This window comes from Homo sapiens, chromosome 3 (assembly GCF_000001405.40).
Source record: "Homo sapiens chromosome 3, GRCh38.p14 Primary Assembly".
In the NCBI taxonomy this organism is placed as follows: Eukaryota; Metazoa; Chordata; class Mammalia; order Primates; family Hominidae; genus Homo; species Homo sapiens.
The window spans coordinates 113352914-113375814 of NC_000003.12; the positions used below are offsets into that span (position 1 = coordinate 113352914).

The 22901-nt window shown below is 37.9% G+C and overlaps 1 protein-coding gene, 1 long non-coding RNA gene and 2 pseudogenes across 8 annotated transcripts in view, besides 1 other annotated feature; 1 reads left to right on the plus strand and 3 right to left on the minus strand.

The window, feature by feature from the left end:
* SPICE1-CFAP44 (SPICE1-CFAP44 readthrough (NMD candidate)) overlaps window positions 1-22901 on the minus strand; it is a 228227-nt gene that overhangs the window by 65984 nt on the left and 139342 nt on the right. For 3 of the 6 annotated variants that reach the window (NR_183046.1, NR_183045.1, NR_183047.1), the window contains 4 exons: window positions 13126-13396; window positions 10564-10619; window positions 10232-10394; window positions 5832-5962 (listed from right to left, as the gene is read on the minus strand). This is a non-coding gene — a long non-coding RNA (SPICE1-CFAP44 readthrough (NMD candidate)). Of the gene's footprint in view, window positions 1-5831; window positions 5963-10231; window positions 10395-10563; window positions 10620-13125; window positions 13397-20497; window positions 20644-22901 lie in introns of all 6 variants that reach the window. The other 3 variants (NR_183049.1, NR_183050.1, NR_183048.1) reach the window with 3 other exon arrangements.
* CFAP44 (cilia and flagella associated protein 44) overlaps window positions 1-22901 on the minus strand; it is a 154585-nt gene that overhangs the window by 65984 nt on the left and 65700 nt on the right. The window contains exons 18-22 of one of the 2 annotated variants that reach the window (NM_001164496.2): window positions 20498-20643; window positions 13126-13396; window positions 10564-10619; window positions 10232-10394; window positions 5832-5962 (exon numbers count right to left, since the gene is read on the minus strand). In NM_001164496.2, coding sequence (NP_001157968.1) covers window positions 5832-5962; window positions 10232-10394; window positions 10564-10619; window positions 13126-13396; window positions 20498-20643 — 767 coding nt within the window. Of the gene's footprint in view, window positions 1-5831; window positions 5963-9951; window positions 10395-10563; window positions 10620-13125; window positions 13397-20497; window positions 20644-22901 lie in introns of those variants that run through there. The other variant, NM_018338.3, reaches the window with a different exon arrangement.
* On the plus strand, window positions 7333-10117 carry RABGGTBP1 (RABGGTB pseudogene 1; annotated as a pseudogene).
* On the minus strand, window positions 8952-9884 carry PHF5AP2 (PHF5A pseudogene 2; annotated as a pseudogene).
* Window positions 13561-14062: an enhancer, noted in NCBI's record as "H3K4me1 hESC enhancer chr3:113085321-113085822 (GRCh37/hg19 assembly coordinates)". NCBI's record gives its function as "activates a minimal SCP1, AML or CMV promoter by ChIP-STARR-seq in naive H9 embryonic stem cells {active_cell/tissue: H9 hESC(naive)}" and the evidence as "EXISTENCE:reporter gene assay evidence [ECO:0000049][PMID:30033119]".

Here is a 22901-nt window from a genome sequence, read left to right on the forward strand (position 1 = left end):
TCAGATAGCTAGCTAGGTTCTTGTTATCTCCTTCCATATGTTCCCTGAAAACATGATGCTATGGTGGATGGAGGGTCCCCAGATCAGGGACGGAAAGCAGGAGTTAAGGAAAAGAGGATTTAATAACAAGGACGGTAGGGAGGCAGAGGTGAACCCTGACTCAAAGGAGGATGGGCAAGTGGGTCCCAGAGCTGTGGGCACTTGATCCCTGCATCTGGAAGTATCTGGGGAGATGGTAAGGCCTTAAGAGTGATGTCTGTATGTGTGTTTGATCTATGGCACAGGTGGCTCCTGGTCTCACAAAACGTTGCCTGCTCCAGCAGAGCACAAAAACCACAGAATGAAAGGACTAAAAGAATCAGGCATTCTGGGAAAATGAGACAATGAGCTTCAGCTGTACTAAGACTGACTTTCCTATCTTCTTGATAGAATAGAAGCCCAGAGTCAAAGTCAGATTTAAGTTAGTTTAAATAAAATAAAGAACAGCCATGTACTTACATACCTAAGTTTGCGAGTTAGGATTCATATATATGTATGAATACACACACACACACACACACACACACACACACACACACACACACAAAACTTATATATACTGTGAATACTTATTAAAGCCAAACATAGGCTGCTATGTTGAGAGTTCTTCCTGAGAGGAACTTCTTCACCACTTTCATCTTTTAGCAGGTAGCAATCTGGTTATAATTCAGGGATTCAAATACTGAAATATTATCTAGGAATTCAACTATTCAGGGATTTAATACCTGGTAAGAAGTGCTATAACTTTCAGAGTGAAGTACCAGAGAGGAGACAGCTGCACGATAGAGACAGAGGGAGAGAGAGAACCAGAGTCAGAGAGAGAGAACCAGAGTCAGAGAGAGAGAGCTCTGAAGATCTGCAGAGGGCTCCCTTCCACTCTGCAGTTAAGCACTAATCAGCACTGCATAAGAAGGAGTCTATCTGAGGCTGGGAAAAGAAACACCTGAAAGGAACAGACAGAATAATCCACAGATCTCACACAGTTGAAATAGCTTGTGTTCCCATAAACCTGATAATACATGGGACATAGGATATTCTGCTCAGAAGAGTGTTGTCTTAGTAGCTGGAAAAAAATTAGCCCTAGACTAAAGGCTGCTCTGATCTCACCTAACAAAGATTAAAGGCAAGCCTCAAAAAAAAAAAAAAAATCTTTTTCCATGTAACTTAAATGAATTCCAGAACAAAGCTCAAGAATAGTTAAAAGTATACAGAGATTAAGATGGCAGATAGGAGGCAGGATTAGCTTGCGGATGGGGACAGAGCATCATGTGGAGACTCACATCATGAACTTTTGCTCCAAGAACTATCACAGGAACATACCCAGGAAAGCTGAGAGAATCCACAGACCCTTTGAAGGAACTGGATCACCCATGCAGGTTCCCTGAGATGCCAAAAAACTGAATCTGCCTGCTTTCTCAATGGGGAGGCTCCTGGTCTGGGGCAGTTCTCAGCCCTGCTCAGCAGCTGCCTGGAAATAGACTTAGTGCTGTTGGGAGGGTATGGTAGGAGTGAGACCAGCCTTTAGGACTGTGGGTTGCATGGGAGCAAGGTCAGGCCTATGACTACCAGCTTTCCCCAACTTCCCTGTATGACTCAGCAGAGGCAGCCATAATCCCCCTGGGAATATAACTCTATTGGACTGGGATCCACACCTCCATCCCCCACAGCAGCCACAGCAAGTCCCGCCCAAGGAGAGGGTGAGCTCAGACACACCTATCCCTGCCCCCACCTGGTGGTCTTTCTCTACCTACCCTGGTAGCTGAAGACAAAGGTCATAATATCTTGGGAGCTCTATACGGCCCTGCCCACTGCCTGAGAAACCTGAATACTTAACTAGGTGTCTCTAGGGCAAGTTTGCATCCTCCCTACAGGACCACAGCTGATGGGCTCTTGAAAGCACCACCTCCTGGCTGGAGGCCAACCAACACAAAACGAGCACACTAAACAAAAACACAACCAAGGACCCTCACAGAGTCCACTTCACTCCCCTGCTACCTCCACTGGAGCAGGTTCTGGTATCCATGGCTTCAAGACCTGAAGACGGATCACATCACAAGACTCTTTGCAGACATTCCCCAGTACCAACCTGGAGCCCGGTAGCTCTGCTGGGACCCAGGGGAAAGGGTGGGGGATGGTGAAGGATTAAAGACTACACATTGGGTACAGAGTACACTGCTCAGGTGATGGGTGCACCAAAATCTCAGAAATCACCACTAAAGAACTTTTCATGTAACCAAACACTACCTGTTCCCCCAAAAACCTATTGAAATTGAAAAAAAAAATTTAAGCCAGGCGTGGTGGCTCACGCTTGTAATCCCAGCACTTTGGGAGGCCTAGGCGGGTGGATCACGAGGTCAAGAGTTCAATATCAACCTGGCCAAGATGGTGAAACCCTGTCTCTACTAAAAATACAAAAAAATTCGCCGGGCATGGTGGCAGGTGCCTGCAATCCCAGCTATTCAGGAGGCTGAGGCAGAGAATTGCTTGAACCCAAGAGGCAGAGGTTGCAGTGAGCCGTGATCACGCCACTACACTCCAGCCTGGGCGACAGAGTGAGACTCCATCCATGGAATACTATGCAGCCATAAAAAAGGATGAGTTCATGTCCTTTGCAGGAACATGGATGAAGCTGGAAACCATCATTCTCAGCAAACTATCACAAGGACAGAAAACCAAACACCACATGTTCTCACTCACATTAGGAGAAATACCTAATGTAAATGATGAGTTGATGGGTGCAGCAAACCAACATGGCACATGTATACCTATGTACCAAACCTGCAGGTTGTGCACCTGTACCCTAGAATTTAAAGTATTAAAAAAAAAAAGTTACAAAAAAAATTTAAGTATATACAGAAATATCTAGCACCTACAATGTAAAATTTACAATCAAAATTTACCAGGCAGATAGGCAAAAAGCATAAAAATGTAATCCAAAATGAAGAGAAATATATCAGTCAATAGAAACATGCACAGAAATGATGCAGATAATATAACTAGCAGACAAGGACATTAAAGCAATTATTATAATGTATTCTTCATTTATATATAATTATGTGGAATTACATATTATATATAAAATGTATATAATTATTATAATATATTCTACATTTTCAAGAAGGTAGAGGAAAGCGTACATTAAAGTGAGGAAAATCCTTAGCTACCACACTAGGAAGTCAATAAAAATGACTAATAATAAATACATATAAATATATTATTTAGATATATGGTTGTAACCACTGTAAAAATATTAAAACTGCTTCTTTTTAAGATATATCATGTTTATGTAAGATAATATTTATTATTTAATTATTATTTAAATGTCTATTATTCCTAAATAGGAATTTATTTCTTAATGACTATTATTTCTATAGATTCCATGTAATTCCAATACAAATTTTAGCAGGCTTTTTGTAAAAATTGACAAGTTGATTCTATGCAAAGAACCTAACCAATCTTGGAGATGAAGAACAAAGCTGGAGGATTTACAATATTAGATGTCAAGATTTAATTAAGACAGAATGATACTGGCACCTGGATAGACAGATAGGCCAATGAGATAGAATAAAGAGTTCAGAAACAGACCCACACATGTACAGTTACCTGACTTATGACAAAAGCATCACTACAATCTAGTAAGGAACAGATGGTCTTTTCAACAAAAAATACTAGGTCAATCGGATATCAATATAAAAACAAATGACATGATCTCACACCACCCATAAAAATTATTCAAGATGTAAAAACAATAGAGCTTCTAGAAGAAAACAGAATTATTTTATGAATTGGGAGTAGGCAAAAGTTCTTTAAGTATAACACAAAAGCATTAATCTTTAAAAAAAGACTAATAAGTTGAACTTCAGTAAAAGAAAAAACTTCTATTCAACAAACAACTCTATTAAGAGACTAAAGCCACATACTACAGCAAGGTATTTTATATGTGTAAACACACACACACATACACACACATATACACATACATACATGTCATATACGTAGTCACTCATATATATAAATAACCAAAAATAACTCATGTATATAAATAACCAAAGCTCATATCCAGAAGATATACATAATTCCTGCAACCCAGTTTTAAAAATGGACAAAAGACTGGAACAAACACCTAACAACAGAAAATATACAAATGATTGGTACATATATGAAAAGGGACTGAAAATCACTCATCAGGGAGATGCCAATTTAAACCATACTGAGATGCTACTACAGAATAGCTGGAATTTAAAGGGCTGACAATCCCAAGCATGAGTATTATGGATTTGTGTCCCCCCAAAAAGCTATGTTGAGGCCCTAACCCCCAGCACCTCAGAGTGTGACCTTATTTGAAAATAGGGTCTTGATAGAGGTAATCAAGTTGAAATGAGATAATGACAGCAGGCCTTAATGAAACATGACTGGTGTTCTTATAAAAAGGGAAAATTTGGACACAGAGATGGACATACACAGGGAAACCTATATGAAGAGACACAGGGAGAACACTGAGTGAAAGCAGAGGATTTGGAGAGATGGATTCATCAGCCAAGAAAACCAAAGGTTGCTGGCAAACCACTAGAAGCTTGGAGACAGGTATGGAACAGATTCTCCCCACCAAGTCCTCAGAAAGAACCAACTTGCCTGACACTTTGATTTTGGACTTCTAGCCTCCAGAACTGCGAGACAGTAAATAACCAGTTTTAAGCCAATCAGTTTGTAGTACTTTTTTACAGTAGCCCTAAGACACTAACACAGTGGGGATCAATTGGGATTCTCATACATTGATGGTAAGTGTGTAAACTGAAGAGTGTAAATTTTCAAACCGTTTTGAAAAACTGACAGGATCTAACAAAACTAAACATGCATATAACCTATGGCCCAGCAGTTCCACAACTGAGTATATAACCAACAGAAATAAGCACTTATATCCATCAAAAAACGTACACAATGTTCATAGTAGCATTATTTATGGTAGCCAAAAATAGAAACAACTCAAATATCTATTAACAGTAGAAGGGATAAACTGTGGTATAATCATTTTAAAGAAAGATTAAAAAGCAATGGAAAAGAATGAACTACTGATACATGTAACAACACTGATAATCTTAGACATCATATGAGTTTTAAAAAAAGGCCAGATGCAAAAGAATCCATACTGTAACACTCTATTTATATGGAATTCACAAACAAAACTAATACATGGCAATAAAGATTCAACTTTGAAGAGTATTTCCTGAAGTGAGGGGGACATGGGGAAACTTTGTGGAGTGCTATAAATGTTCTCTATCTTAATCTGAGTAGTAGATATATTTATACATCTGTAAAAAATTTTCAAGATGTTAAGATTTACGTATTTTATGTAAATTATATCTCAGTAAATGGCAAAAAAAAACATTCCCCTGGAAGTCAAATTGGTGCATGAGAGGGATAAAACCAGAGCCACCTCTGGTTGTCTTTTGTTTAAAGTCCTTTGGTTCCATTTGATTTTTTATTTCTTAATACATACATGTTCATTAATTAATTTGATATAAAATAAATAATTCATCAAAACAAAGTAAATATGTATTATATAATTTTTAAAATGTAAGTGTTAAACAAATTTCCCACACTTAAACTAGAAAGGAGTGCACAGAAAGCTCAGGAAAATATCAGTAGCAGTGACAAGAGGATTCCTTGAGATTTCAAGTCAGTGGGTACTTCCAGAGCCCTCTTAACTGGCCACTTCACTGACACTACTATAAACTATGTTATTCACACATGTGCTCTCAAACATCTTAGCTTGTAGAGAATATGGATCCTACCGATTCTTTAGCTTCATTAGGCCGAGTTCATGTTTCTCTTTTTCCCAAGCTAATTCCTTTTCCACTTGTTGAATTTTGAAAGCTGTTTTTCTGTGCATCTCAGCACGGATTTGGGAATCTACATCAAAATCCTGCAGATAAGAAGATCTGTTCATCAAAATGGGTACTGTATCAACTCTGTTTCATATATTTCAGTTTTGTCCCCAGTTTCATGCTGCATCATAACTCTTCCCCAAATATCATAAACTCTGTCCATTACAAAAGAAAAACAGCTTATTTTAACTTTACTTCCACAATATAAGGAGAAATGTTCTTCGCAATTAACAATAATACAAATAAAGCTACACAGTTTAAGATTTTTTCCCACAATAAAAATAATGAATGCTATCAATATTTGGAGAGTATACAGTTTTAAAGACGCTATCTCAAAGAAACTACTATTACATAAAAATTGGACATGAGGTAGATGCTTATGGCAACTGATCATTATCTGAACATCCCCCCTGGTGTGACCCCACCCAGGAAAGATAGCAGTATCTGGTGTCTTCTTGACATCACCAAGTTTTTGTTGAATCTCCTTCACAAAGGGCTCCACTTTCTCCCATAAGGATACTTAGAGGTCTCATGTTTCTTACCCTCATCCCTGGAAAAATATCAGAGCCAATATTTGTGATAAATTGTGAGTAGTAATTATTCTTTTCAGAGGTGTTTGTGTGTCATTTAAGTAATGATGTGTACAAAGTGCTTAGTCACAGCACTTGCCTCAGTTGTTTTTTATCTTAAATTTTATTACCCATGCTCTGGAAGTTTCAACATTTTTCTTAGAAAAATAGCATAAAGGTCTTTTAACTATTTTGACCTGGTTTTTTTAACCAACATGATTAAATCATGATTTCACCAAAGCATTTTTTATATGAAATTGGCAAAGTGCTTCTAGAATTACAGGACTGGGTAACCCATGAATATATTAAGAATTATGGGTTTTTACTTGATCAGATGGTTAATTAACTCCATTTAGGAAGAGGTACAAAATGAAAAAAAGCTAACCACTAGCAGGTACATGGGGCTTTGCAATAAGTCACAAAAGAAAAAAAGGTAGAATACAAAATTGGCTTAAACAATTTTGTGATTGCCCCCATAGCTACAACTAAATTAAATCATTTTTAAAAATTTTGTAGATCAACCGGGTACTGTCTTTTCAACAGATCTGATAAATTATAGAAATAGAAGCACAGACAATCAAATTATACATGCATCTACCCATTGTATTTTGGCTAAGTACAATAAGAGTTGATAACCAGATTCAAACCTATACTTATGTCTTATCTTGTTACCAAAAAAAAAAAAAAGTGTGGTAGGTAAATCCAATAGTAAACTTTGTATTACGTAAAGAGGTTCATCTGCTTCCAAACCAAGCAGTGTGTCAAGTTCTAGAGTAGTTTATTTGCTGCAAACATACTGACTGGCCAGATAAAAAGAAGCTTAAAGATGATTTTGGCTCTTCACTCTTAGACATGGCCATGTTATTATCAAGTGAGATACACCAGACACCTTATTATTGTAGAAACATGTAGATTGTATCACATCCTATGGCTCAAAGAAAGATGATTATGAATACTATATGTCTGAGTATTTGAGAATGAGTGGTGTCTATTGGGGTTTGACAGTATTGGATCTCATGGGACAACTTCACTGCATGAATAGTGAAGAAATTCTGACATTTATTAAGTCTTGCCAACATGAGTTTGGTAGAATAAGTGCTAATATCAGACATGATCCTCATCTTTTATACACTGTTAGTGCTGTCCAGATTCTTACTCTGTATGATAGTATTAATGTTATCGATGTAAAAAAGTTGTGGAATATGTTCCAAGTCTATGGAAAGAAGATGTTTCTCTTGCTGGAGACTTTTGGGGTCCCACTGAGCAGCTGCTCTAACTGGAGCTAATGGTCTGCTGGAAGTTCCAGCGTGCACTGTGGTAGTTTTATCAGCATACAGAATTACTGGACCAGAGGGGGCCAGCCTGAAAGATAAGGGATGAACACAGTGCAGGGCAGAGAGACCAACTGTTTCATAGGATGGGAAAAATCTACTTTTATAAAGTAGGGGGAAATTGATACAAGATTCTCTTTTTGTGTGGTGGAAACTGGCTCTCTTGGGGAAGCTTGATGCTACTAATATAAAAAAAAAAAAGGCAGTTGAATTTGTTTTATCTGTGTATGAATTTTGATGGTGGATTTGGTTGCAGACCAGGTTCTGAATTCCATGCTGGGCACATTTATTGTTGCACAGGATTCCTGGCTATTACCAAGTCAGTTGCATCAAGTAAATTATGATTTACTTGGTTAGTGGTTTTGTGAATGAGTTACCCTTGGGTGGATTTAATGGAAGGCCAGGGAAGTTAGCAGGTGTATGCTATTCATGGTGGGTGTTGGCTTTCCTAAAGATCACTGGAAGCCTTCACTGGATTGAGAGAGATAAACCGCGTATGTAATTTCATCTGTCAGTCCTACTTTTGGCATGCCTGAAGAAGTGCTTCAGAGGGTGAATATTCAGCCTGAGCTAGTAAGCTAGATTCACTGAGGCAAAAGTTGCGTACTATAGTATAATTTTGCCAACTCAACATGTCTGTATTTGAAATGCTTATGAAATCAAAAAATGACTACTATTATTTTGTGTATTGTGTTAAAGTAATTTTATAATTTATAAGAAATTATATAATTATACATATTGTAGAATAAAGACCTGTTTTGTTTTTTTTTTTTTTGAGATGGAGTCTCACTCTGTCCCCCAGGCTGGAGTGCAGTGACGTGATCTCGGCTCACTGCACACTCCACCTCCCAGGTTTCACGCCATTCTCCTGCCTCAGCCTCCTGAGTAGCTGGGACTACAGGCACCCACCACCACACCTGGCTAATTTTTTTTGTATTTTTTAGTGGAGACAGGGTTTCACCATGTTAGCCAGGATGCTCTCGAACTCCTGACCTCATGATCCGCCCGCCTCGGCCTCCCAAAGTGCTGGGATTACAGGCATGAGCCACCGCGCCCAGCCTAAAGACCTGTATTTTATTTTCTGCTTTATATTTTGAAGACCTGCTATTCTGACCACAATTTTTTTTTACCAGAAAACAAACACCAATTTTATTAATATAATAGCAACAGAAAGGGTTTCTAATTTCTCAGAAGGCATGAAACCAGCACAAGTGTTATAAGATTAAATGCCTACATTTCTTGTTCTGATAGCTTCCCACCACACACTGAAGGTTCCTCAAGGATAACTGCCACCAGAGCTGCTGCAAGAATATGTTTTTCACTAGGCATAGCTTCACAGTCAAATCCTCAAGCAGAAGACTAAAATATTATTTCTTTTTAGAAGATCTTGGTTGAGGGAGAACATATCAATATGGAGAACAGGGCTTTGCTTCTCAAATTCAAGAAAAACCATTAGCTAATCTATCAATTTTTGTCTGATACAGTGTACCGGAGTGCTCTGTGAAGAATCCTTTTCCATCCCTTCCATGTGTCTGGGTGAAGGGACAGGAGGGGGTGGCAAGGTGACAGTACACTAGAAGGCACTCCTCGTGATGCTCTGGGCTCCACTCCCTTTCTGCTGGTAGTAGCAGGCATCTTTTCTGGCAGCTGCAGCAGCTTGATGTGGAGGGGAGGAAGGGGCCACCACCAATCACCTCTTCTTGAAGCCGTATTTTTTGCATTCATAGAAAAGGTCTGTCTTAGAGTTACCCAAACTGACAATCTTTGGGCAGCCATCCCTATCCTTCTCCTGGATGGTGCACTTCCTTACAATAATAGGCATCAGAAACCCCAGGGCCTCCACAGATCACACAGCACCTCTGGTAAGATCCATAGTTAACGCTCATCACATATGTGCATCAGAGTGCAGGGATGCACATAGGAATCACAAATCACACACTTGCCATCACATTTTTCACACAGTCTTCCGATAGCAATACCAGTCTGCTTGCAGCAAAAGATCAAATCGGGATGACGTTTAGCCATAGTTCCCAACGAAGCCAGCCACCGGACGCTTCAGGCCAATTTTTGTTTATACTTCAGTGTATCTGTTATTCATGTCTCTATAAAAGAAAACTTAAAAGAACTCTTGGGTTCTACTTTATTTCTTCCCCATGTATTCCTTTCATGTGTTCTATAACAACAGTTGATGTAAAACAATTTGTGTCAACAAGAATCTTAACTGATTAAAAGGGATAAACCCCACATACAAATTAAAAGATGCCCAAAATAAATGGCTATTGAAATTTTGAAAGAAACAAACAAAAAAGAAAGATGATTTTAAGTGTTTCTACTTGTTGGGAAAATAGTCATCTCTATCCAGAAATAGCATATGTTAAAATAAAAATCAAGTTTATATTAGGCTTACTGTTCGTTTAAACTGCATATGCTTTGGTAATTTTTCATTCATTTCTAATAGATTACAAAATTCACTCCTCAAAGCTTTGATTTGCTCTCTCTTCCGTGCCTTTATTTCTCCCACTTCTTTCATTAACTTGTCATGTTCTCTTTTTCTCCTAGCATTCTCGATACTGAAAACAGAAATTTAAAACAATAACAGGTTGTGATACAGAAACAGCAGAGAAAGAGAAAATTAGTATTCAATAATTTGAAAATTCATTAAGCTTGGTCAACTTCTGCACTGTTGATTTGTTTTGCAAAATCTCAGGCCTAGTCAGTATTTATCAAAAATTCCCATACCTGTAGGCTTTGGGATCTTCAATGTCTTCTGGAATTGGCTCTGTTTCAATTCCAAACTATAGGAAGGGAAGTAAAAGGTTAGCCCTTTAAAATTGCATAGCATTTTCCTTAAAATATCTAGGAAGAAGTAAATTAAAAACTCAAATTGGTTCGGTTTTCTTTTTCTGCCAATTTCTAATAATTATAGGTCTGAAAATCAGTTTCACAAAAATCCAAGGAAAAAAATGCAGTTTACTAAACTTACTTGTTTCTGCTTTATTTGAAGGAGTACATAGGAAAAGTCTTAACCTAATCATATGTTTGCAAAATGTTAATATCCCCATAATTTCCCCTCAAAATGTAAATTACTAATGTTCATATGCTATTAACACAGAATTCACAAAAGTCTAGATCATTTATTTCAAAATGCTGTTTTTCAGTATATACCTTTATCACATGAATCATTTGTCCAAATACCTCAGTGTGTCCTAGAAATATTTCAATATATATATTTTTACATTTTAAGTAAGCATTTTATATCACCTTCTCAAAGGAAGACATAAAGTGGAAAATGCAAAGAACAATATAATCCCCCTCCTTGAAAGAGAAAGATATGAAATCAGAAATACAAGTCTCCCTTCAGAAAGGAAATCAGTTTAAATTTGGGGGAACTAAAAAGTAAATCACTTAAAAGTACTCTGTTTATTCAGGTACTGTGCTGTAAAATGTCTTAGTCTGTGATATTAAGGAAGGAGAATTATAACCCAGTGAACAAAATAGTCTTAGTTTGCTAACTAGTCTGTTCATAAATAAAACTAAACTTTATTCCCTATTCTCTTTCACAGAAGATAGGTCTCTGTTTTGCTGTCATTTGTTGTAAGTAAATAAAGATTCTCTTTTGATAAAGTTGTTTTATTAGTCTTTATATGTATGAAATGTAAATCTACATATTTTTATGGAAGTCAAGGTTTATGACTTTAATAAAAGCAAAGTCATAAAACATGATCAATATAAGAGACAGTAATGGCTAATAAATTGTACTGACTATTAATCACTTAGGACAAAAATTTACTGAATTTTATTTATTTTTTATTCTTTTATTGGCCAGAGCTAAGTACCTTGGTTTTCTAATATCAGTGTAACTTCTAGGATTTGATGCTGATACTGGGGCAATTGTCTCCTGGTCACAGTTGTTTCCAATAAGGTTGAGTTAAACAAAAGTTCCAAAAATATGCCAATCAGTTCCAAAATATATGCCAATGGGTCTCAATCCTAGCTACACAGTAGAATCACATGAAGGATAGTGTATACAATACTGAAGACTGGGCATCACCTTCAGAGATTCTAATTTAATTGTTCTTGGGTGGGCTCTGGCATCTGTACTTCTAGGGCTCCCTAGCTGATTCTAAAGTACAGTAAGGTAAGAACCTCAGACCAGTGCTGAGCTTAGTTGTTTTCTGTTGTTTTTTTTAAAAAAAATCTTTCTCATTTTTTCTTTCTTAAAAGCTATGTCTGCTTCAGTGATTTCAGAAATATTGATTGCAGCCATAAATTTAAATGTGGAATAAATATTTTTCTATCCAATATGGGTTTCTGTAGGAGGGATATTGACTGCAGCTGTAAATAAAAGGACATGATTATTGAAATGTGGAATAAACATTTTTCTATCCAATATGGGTTTCTATAGAGAGGGTTGGCACCAGGTAGAAAGGCATTTTCTTCTTGTTCATATACTTTCCCTCCTGCAATTCCTTTTTCTGAGCTGGACCCTCTCTAACCAGCAGCCCATACTCCAAATTTTGCTATTAGAAGAAATGAAAATTGACCTACTCATATCTTCCCTACATTCTTTATGTGTACTTTGAAGTAGGCTACCTGCTAAATGGGAAGCCAATATGTTCAAAGGAATTTTAGCTATAATCTTTCTAATACAACTCCTTTCTCCTTAGGAGCAATTCTAATGGTTATTACCTACTGACTTTTTCCAAACAAATTGCTTGATAATATGAAATTCAAGTTCTATGACAGGAAAAAAGGACATAATTTGGGGATCTGAACCCTCAAACTTCATCATAAAGCCAAAAATCTAGTTCTGCTTTTAAAAAAATACTTTATACTGAATCTTTAATCATGACCCACATTGTCACATTCTAATACTAAAAACAACTATATTTTTGCAACCCCTATCAAAACCACACTTTATGGCATATGTCCTATATCAGCCCTTACAACGAGTGAATGAATAAATGAAAAGCAAAAGAAAATCTGAAAAAATTGCAAACTTTGAAAAAAAACCTTTGATTAAGAAAGTTTTTTTAATATACAAACTTTTAACTACATAGAAAAACTGACACATTCTTTTTTAATCTGGGGAATTCCAATCTTTAATAATAAGGGGAATGTAATACCTTTAATATTTGATATATAAGCACCAGAAAGTCAAATTATAATAGTAGCAGGAAGATTAGACCATAAGGTGAATGTGTCTAAATAACTTTTAATTTATAACGAATATGAACAATTTTAATATCACTATTTTTAAATACAGTTTGTTATTAATTAACTGGTTAATTAATTACATACCCTGGGAGATGGAACTTTGGCCTTCATGTCTTTCCTTAGCATAAATTCAGAAAAAATGTTGAAAACAAAGATATTGCCATCTGCTCCAGCAGTCACCAAGAAACGATCATCAAAGCTATTAGCAATACTTTTAATACATCCATAATTATTGTCATGCATATTGAAGTGCCAGTAGTCCACCAAACTGGTCAATGAAGGATCATTTTGATTTAGGACATAGACTCGAATTGCTCCATTTTTCATTCCACAAAACATCATAACTTTGTTAATGCTACGAAACAAAAAATGTAAATTGTTCTTCCCATTAATCTGAAAATAATGCTTAATTTCAACTTAATTGACAAGTGGCTAAATTAATAACAAAGTTGTTATGGACTGAATTGTACACCCCTAAAATTCCTATATTGAAGCCCTAACCCCTAATACTTCAGAATGTAACTGCATTGTGATAGGGCTTTTAAAGAGGTAATTAAGTTAAAATTAGAACATTAGGGTAGGTTCTAATCCAGTCTGCCTGGTGTACTCATAAGAAGAAGATATCAAAGGGGGTCACTTCCAAGATGGCCAAATAGGAACAGCTCCAGTCTGCAGCTCCCAGCAAGATCGACTCAGAAGATGGGTGATTTCTGCATTTCCAACTGAGGTATCTGATTCATCTCATTGGGACTGGTTGGACAGTGGGTGCAGCCGATGGAGGGCAAGCCGAAGCAAGGCAGGGTGTTGCCTCACCTGGGAAGCGCAAGGGGTCAGGAGATTTTCCTTTCCTAGCCAAGGGAAACTGTGACAGACTGTACCTGGAAAAATGGTACACTTCTGCCCAAATACTGCGCTTTTCAAAAGTCTTAGCAACTGGCAGACCAGGAGATTCCCTCCCATGCCTGGCTCAGCGGGTCCCACGCCCATGGAGCTTTGCTCACTGCTAGCACAGCAGTCTGAGATCAACCTGTGAGGCTGCAGCCCGGCGGGTGGAGGGGTGTCTGCCATTACTGAGGCTTGACTAAGTAAACAAAGCGGTTGGGAAGCTCTAACTGGGCAGAGCCCACCTCAGCTCAGCAAGGCCTACTGCCTCTATAGACTCCACCTCTGTGGGCAGGGCATAGCTGAACAAAAGGCAGCAGACAACTTCTGCAGACTTAAACGTTCTTGTCTGACAGCTCTGAAGAGAGCAGTGGTTCTCCCAGCACAGCGTTCAAGCTCTGAAAACGGACAGACTGCCTCCTCAAGTGGGTCCCTGACCCCCATGTAGCCTGAGAGACACCTCCTAGTAGGGGCCAACAGACACCTCATACAGGCGGGTGCCCTTCTGGGATGAAGCTTCTAGAGGAAGGATCAGGCAGCAATATTTGCTGTTCTGCAATATTTGCCATTCTGCAGCCTCCATTGGTGATACCCAGGCAAACAGGGCCTGGAGTGGACCTCCAGCAAACTCCAACAGACCTGCAGCTGAGGGCCCTGACTGCTAGAAGGAAAACTAACAAACAGAAAGGAATAGCATCAACATCAACAAAAAGGACATCCACACCAAAACACCATCTGTAGGTCACCAACATCAAAGACCAAAGGTAGATAAAACCACAAAGATGGGGAGAAACCAGAGCAGAAAAGCTGAAAATTCCAAAAACCAGAGCACCTCTTCTCCTCCAAAGGATCACAGCTCCTCACCAGCAATGGAACAAAGCTGAATGGAGAATGATTTTGATGAGTTAGTTGACAGAAGTAGGCTTCAGAAGGTTGGTAATAACAAACTTCTCCGAGCTAAAGGAGCATGTTCTAACCCATTGCAAAGAAGCTAAAAACCTTGAAAAAAAGGTTAGATGAATGGCTAACTAGAATGAACAGTGTAGAGAAGATCTTAAATGACCTCCTGGAGCTGAAAACCACAGGACGAGAACTTCGTGACGCATGCACAAGCTTCAATAGCTGATTCAATCAAGTGGAAGAAAGGATATCAGTGATTGAAGATCAAATTAATGAAATAAAGCAAGAAGACAAGATTAGAGAAAAAAGAGTAAAAAGAAATGAACAAAGTCTCCAAGAAATATGGGACTATGTGAAAAGACCAAATCTACATTTGATTGGTGTACCTGAAAGTGATGGGGAAAATGGAACCAAGTTAGAAAACACTCTTCAGGATATCATCCAGGAGAACTTCCCCAACCTAGCAAGGCAGGCCAACATTCAAGTTCAGGAAATACAGAGAACACCACAAAGATTCTCCTTGAAAAGAGCAACCCCAAGACACATAATTGTCAGATTCACCAAGGTTGCAATGAAGGAAAAAATTGTAAGAGCAGCCAGAGAGAAAGGTCGGGTTACCCACAAAGGGAAGACCGTCAGACTAACAGCAGATCTCTCGGCAGAAACCCTACAAGCCAGAAGAGAGTGTGGGCCAATATTCAATATTCTTAAAGAAAAGAATTTTCAACACAGAATTTCATATCCAGTCAAACTAAGCTTCATCAGTGAAGGAGAAATAAAATACTTTACAGACAAGCAAATGCTGAGAGATTTTGTCACCACCAGGCCTGCCTTACAAGAGCTCCTGAAGGAAGCACTAAACATGGAAAGGAACAACCGGTACCAGCCACTGCAAAAACATTCCAAATTGTAAAGAACATCAAGGCTAGGAAGAAACTGCATCAATTAACAGGCAAAATAACCAGCTAACATCCTAATGACAGGATCAAATTCACACATAACAATATTAACCTTAAATGTAAATGGGCTAAATGCTCCAATTAAAAGATACAAACTGGCAAATTGGATAAAAAGTCATGACCCATCAGTGTGCTGTATCCAGGAGACCCATCTCACTTACAGAGATACACATAGGCTCAAAATAAAGGGATGGAGGAAGATCTACCAAGCAAATGGAAAGCAAAAAAAGCAGAGGTTGCAATCCTAGTCTCTGATAAAACAGACTTTAACCCAACAAAGATCAAAAGAGACAAAGGCCATTACATAATGGTAAAGGGATCAATTCAACAAGAAGAGCTAACTATCCTAAATATATATGCACTCAATACAGGAGCACCCAGATTCATAAAGCAAATCCTTAGAAACCTACAAAGAGACTTAGACTCCCAAACAATAATAATGGGAGACTTTAATACCCCACTGTCATTATTAGATCAACGAGACAGAAGGTTAACAACGATATCCAGGATTTCAACTCAGCTCTGCACCAAGCAGATCTAATAGACATCTATAGAACTCTCCATCTCAAATCAACAGAATATACATTCTTCTCAGGACCACATCATATTTATTCTAAAACTGACCACATAATTGGAAGTAAAACACTCCTCAGCAAATGTAAAAGAATAGAAATCACAACAGTCTCTCAGACCACAGTGCAATCAAACTAGAACTCAGGTTAATAAACTCACTCAAAACTGCACAACTATGTGGAAACTGAACAACCTGCTCCTGAATGACTACTGGGTAAATAACAAAATGAAGGCAGAAATAAAGATGTTCTTTGAAACCAATGAGAACAAGGACACAACGTACCAGAATCTCTGGGACACATTTAAAGCAGTGTGTAGAGGGAAATTTATAGCACTAAATGCCCGCAAGAGAAAGCAGGAAAGACTTAAAATCAACACCCTAATATTGCAATTAAAAGAACTAGAGAAGCAAGAGCAAACAAATTCAAAAGCTAGCAGAAGGCAAGAAATAACTAAGATCAGAGCAGAACTGAAGGAGATAGAGACAAAAAAACCCTTCAAAAAATCAATGAATCCAGGAGCTGGTTTTCTGAAACAATCAAGAGAATTGATAGAGAGAGCACTGGCAAGACTAATAAAGAAGAAAAGAGAGGAATCAAATAGATGCAATAAAAAATGATATAGGGGATATCACCACTGATCCCACAGAAATACAAACTACCATCAGAGAATACTATAAACACCTCTATGCAAATAAACTAGAAAATCTAGAATAAGTGGATAAATTTCTGGACACATACACCCTCCCAAGACTAAACCAGGAAGAAGTTGAATCTCTGAATAGACCAATAACAGGTTCTGAAATTGAGGCAATAATTAATACCCTACCAACCAAAAAAAGTCCAGAACCAGACAGATTCAAAGCCGAATTCTATCAGAGGTACAAAGAGGAGCCAGTACCACTCCTTCTGAAACTATTCCAATCAATAGAAAAAGAGGAAATCCTCCCTAACTCATTTTATGAGGGCAGCATCATCCTGAAACCAAAGCATGGCAGAGACACAACAAAAAAAGAGAATTTTAGACCAATATCCCTGATGAACATAGACACAAAAATCTTCAATAAAATACTGGCAAACCAAATCCAGCAGCACATCAAAAAGCTTATCCACCACAATCCAGTGGGCTTCACCCCTGGGATGCAAGGCTGGTTCAACATACACAAATCAATAAACGTAATCCATCACATAAACAGAACCAACGACAAAAATCACATGATTATCTCAATAGACGCAGAAAAGGCCTTCAACAAAATTCAACAGCCCTTCATGCTAAAAACTCTCAATAAACTAGGTATTGAAGGAATGTACCTCAAAATGATAAGAGCTATTTATGACAAACTCACAGCCAATATCATACAGAATGGGCAAAGTGGAAGCATTTCCTTTTGAAAACTGGCACAAGACAAGGATGTGCTCTCTCACCATGCCTATTCAACATAGTGTTGGAAGTCCTGGCCAGGGCAAACAGGCAAGAGAAAGAGATAAAGGATATTCAATTAGGAAAAGAGGAAGTCAAATTGTCCCTGTTTGCAGATGACATGACTGTATATTTAGAAAACCCCACTGTCTCAGCCCCAAATCTCCTTAAGCTGATAAACAACTTCGGCAAAGTCTCAGGATACAAAATCAATGTACAAAAATCACAAGCATTCCTATACAGCAGTAACAGACAAAGAGAAAGCCAAATCATGAGTGAACTCCCATTCACAATTGGTACTAAGAGAATAAAATACCTAGGAATCCAACTTACAAGGGATGTGAAGGACCTCTTCAAGGAGAACTACAAACCACTGCTCAATGAAATAAAAGAGGACACAAACAAATGGAAGAACATTCCATGTTCATGGATAGGAAGAATCAATATCATGAACATGGCCATATTGTCCAAGGTAATTCATAGATTCAATGCCATCCCCATCAAGCTACCAATGACTTTCTTCACAGAATTGGAAAAAACTACTTTAAACTTCATATGGAGCCAAAAAAGAGCCTGCATAGCCAAGACAATCCTGAGCAAAAGAACAAAGCTGGAGGCATCACATTACCTGACTTCAAACTATACTACAAGGCTATAGTAACCAAAACAGCATGGTACTGGTACCAAAACAGATATACAGACCAATGGAACAGAACAGAAGCCTCAGAAATACCACCACACATCTACAAACATCTGATCTTTGACAAACCTGACAAAAACAAGAAATGGGGAAAGGATTCCCTATTTAATAAATGGTTCTGGGAAAACTGGCTAGCCATATGTAGAAAGCTGAAACTGGATCCCTTCCTTACACCATATACAAAAAGTAACTCAAGATAGATTAAAGACTTAAATGTAAGACCTAAAGCCATAAAAACTCTAGAAGAAAACCTAGGCAATACCATTCAGGACATAGGCATGGGCAAAGACTTCACGTCTAAAACACCAAAAGCAATGGCAAAAGCAAAAATAGACAAATGGGATCTAATTAAACTAAAGTGCTTCTGCACAGCAAAAGAAACTATCATCAGAGTGAACAGGCAACCTACAGAATGGGAGAAAATTTTTGCAATCTACCCATCTGACAAAGGGCTAATATCCAGAATCTACAAAGAACTTAAACAAATTTACAGGAAAAAAACAAATAATCCCATCAAAAAGTGGGCAAAGGATATGAACAGACACTTCTCAATAGAAGACATTTACGCAGCCAACAGACACAATGAAAAAATGCTCATCACCACTGATCATCAGAGAAATACAAATCAAAACCACAGTGAGATACCATCTCATACCAGTTAGAATGGCACTCATTAAAAAGTCAGGAAACAACAGATGCTGGAGAGGATGTGGAGAAATAGGAATGCTTTTACACTGCTGGTGGGAATGTAAATTAGTTCAACCATTGTGGAAGACAGTGTGGCGATTCCTCAAGGATCTACAACTAGAAATACCATTTGACCCAGCCATCCCATTACTGGGTATATACCCAAAGGATTATAAATCATGCTACTATAAGGACACATGCATACGTATGTTTATTGCAGCACCATTCACAATAGCAAAGACTTGGAACCAACCCAAATGTCCATCAATGATAGACTGGATTAAGAAAATGTGGCACATATACACCATGGAATACTATGCAGCCATAAAAAAGGATGAGTTCATGTCCTTTGCAGGGACATGGATGAAGCTGGAAACCATCATTCTCAGCAAACTATCACAAGGACAGAAAACCAAGCACCACATATTCTCACTCATAGGTGGGAATTGAACAATGAGAACACATGGACACAGGGTAGGGAACATCACACACCAGGGCCTGTTGGGGAGTGGGGGGCAGAGGGAGGGATAGCATTAGGAGAAATACCTAATTTAAATGATGAGTTGATAGGTGCAGCAAGCCAACATGGCATATGTATACCTACGTAACAAATGTGCACGTTGTGCACATGTACCCTAGAACTTAAAGTATAATAATAAAAAAAAAGAAGAAGAGGACATTAGGATACAGACAGAAGCATAAGGGATGACATGCACCCAGAGAAAAGATCATGCAAGAAGGCAAATATCTATAAGTTAAGGAGACAGGCCTCAGGAGAAACCAACCTGCTGACACCTTGATCTTGGAACTCTAGCCTCCAGAACTGTGAGAAAAAAAATTCTGCTGTATAAGCCACCTAGTCTGTGGTGTTTTATTGTGGCAGCCCTAGCAAACTAATACAAAAGAATAGAGAAAAAAGGCCAATTTGAAATTTGAAGCTATTATATTGGGTCGTCAGAAGAATAACTGGCATATTTGCCTAGTTCTCAATTATTAAAGGGCTAATGATTCATTTGTGATTTCTCCAGAATAACTGTAACCCTGAACCTTCATTTCTGACTATGTAAGTAGCATCCTCCTAGGTAGCAGAATGTAAATCCATACAATTCAATTGTGCGATAAACAAAAATACTGACAGAATATTTGGTGGGGGTATTTAAATATAATTTCAGTATTAGCTTTGATTTTATTTATTCATTTGATTTATTTAACCAAATATTTTTTGAGTACCCCTTCATTTGGATGGATCTTTAAAAATTGACAATATCCATGATGAACAAAAGCATAGACACTAACAGGATATGGTTTTTTTAAAGCTTTTTGAAATACTGCTCACTTGAAAGTGATAGTTTGGATGGGATTGTCCTCTGTATCCGCAAGATAACGGACATCAATAGGTTCATCTTTTTGTTCTTTGAAATCACTGCTTTCATCACAAGGGGGGAACTCACAGTGATATAGAAAACCAGAATCATAGCCACCCTAGAAAAGAGATAAGTAACATAGAAGGTGGTACTTGAATATAACACACATAAATGCATGAGAATTTTTTGATTATTTCAAATTTGAAAACATAAAATAGATGTTTTCAAACATCTACTTCTACATAATTTCTATGATTATAGATTTATTATTTCTATAAAGCATCTCCTTTATCCATTTATACACAACTATATAATTATAATAAAAACCTCATGATGATTTGTTTTCATTTAAAAGCCAATACAAGAGAGATATCACCTCTGACTCCCTACCTACAGAATTTCATTTTATTTCTTCAAGCATTATTCTGAATAAGCAGGAACAAATATTAGGGTTTTGCAGTTCCTCGTTTTTACAGCTAGTTTGCAGTTTAAGGTAACTGTAAACACTGTTAATTTTCCAGAAAGGGCTATTTCAGAAAAATTTATCCATGTAGTGAGAAGATGAATGATCAACTGGAAGAGCTATATTGCTCCAACTCTAATTTCCTTATTACTGAGATTCCTTATTATAGGAAACAAATTAAGGGTCAGAACAACTTTATGAACAATAAAAGAATAAATAAGAAAGAGAATGTAACATCATGATCACCTCTGAAAATCAAATTACTAAGTTTTCACTTTTGACAACAGCAGACTAGATTGTTTCAGCCAAACTCTCCCACTGAGAACAACCAGAACAAATTTTGTAAATGTGTTTGAAGGCATTGGCAAGCTACCAAAATAGCAAGATCCAAAAAAGAGGGAAAGCCAAAAGTGAGCCTGGCATTTGGCACTGCTTTACTCCCTGGAGCAACTGTCAATTTCTTTTATTTATTTATTTATTTATTTATTTATTTATTTATTATTATACTTTAAGTTCCAGGGTACATGTGCACACGTGCAGGTTTGTTACATATATGTGGCAGCTGAGAGGCTAAGAAGCTGGACAAAGCTATCTGCAGTCTCATAGACTTATGGAGAAAGAAATAATCATTTCCAGGGTTCAAGCAGGGTCTCAAAGAGATATTTGAACACCCACCTCATTCATAGCAGCATTATTCACAATAGCCAAAAGGTGGGAACAATCCAAGTGTCTATTTTTGTGTGTTTGTTTTGAGATGGGGTCTTACTCTGTCACCCAGGCTGGAATGCAGTGGTGCCATCTCGGCTCACTGCAACTTCCACCTCCCAAGTTCAAGCAATTCTCCTGCCTCGGCCTCCCGGGTAGCTAGGATTGCAGGTTTGAGCCACTCCGTCCACCTAATTTTTTCTATTTTTAGTAGAGATGCGGTTTTGCCATGTTGGCCAGGCTGGTCTGGAACTCCTGGCCTCAAGTGATCCACCCGCCTTGACCTCCTAAAGTGCTAGGATTACAGGCGTGAGCCACCGTGCCTGGCCCCAAATGTCTATTTATGACTGAGTATATAAGCAAAATACGGTACATACTTAAAGTGGAGTATTATTTGGCCTTGAAAGGAAATTCTGACATATGCTGCATCACGGATGAAACTTGGGGAAATTATCCCAAGTGAAACAAGCCAGTCATAAAGAGACAGATACTATATAATTTCACTTATTTGAGATACTTAGAGTAGTCAAAATCATAAGAAAGAAAGTATGGTTGCCAGGGGCTGAGAGAAGGGAAGAATCAGGAGTTATCATTTGATGAGTATGGGAGTTTCAGTGTTACAGGATGAGGAGGACGGTAGAACAGATGTTGGTGATGACGTCACAACATTGTGAATACGTTTACTACTACTGAGCTGTACACTTAAAAATGGTTAAGATGGTCAATTTTATGTTATATGTCTTTTACTTCAATAAAAAGCAATTGGAAAAACAAACTTTAAAATAAAAGTTACGAAGCTGGAACAGAGATCAGAAAAAATAGGCTAAAGCATGGAGAAAGACAAAAAGGATGGAAAATCTTCTTGAATGATGTAAGATACATACGGAACATGAGAAGGATGTAATACACATAAAGTTGGGGTCCCAGAACAAGAGAGTGAAAAGATAGGCCAGAAGCAACACTGTGGTAGATAATGGCTGAGAATTTTCTAAAACTGAAGAGATATGTTGAAATTTAGAGTGCTACGAACTGCAAACAAAATAAAAATGAAGAAACTAACACCTTTTAACCACGCGTGTTGGCACACACCTGTAATCTCAGCTACTCGGGAAGCTAAGGCAGGAGAATCACTTGAGCCTGGGAAGTAGAGGCTGTAGTGAGCTGAGACGGCACCATTGCACTCCAGCCTGGGCAACAGAGTGAGTGAG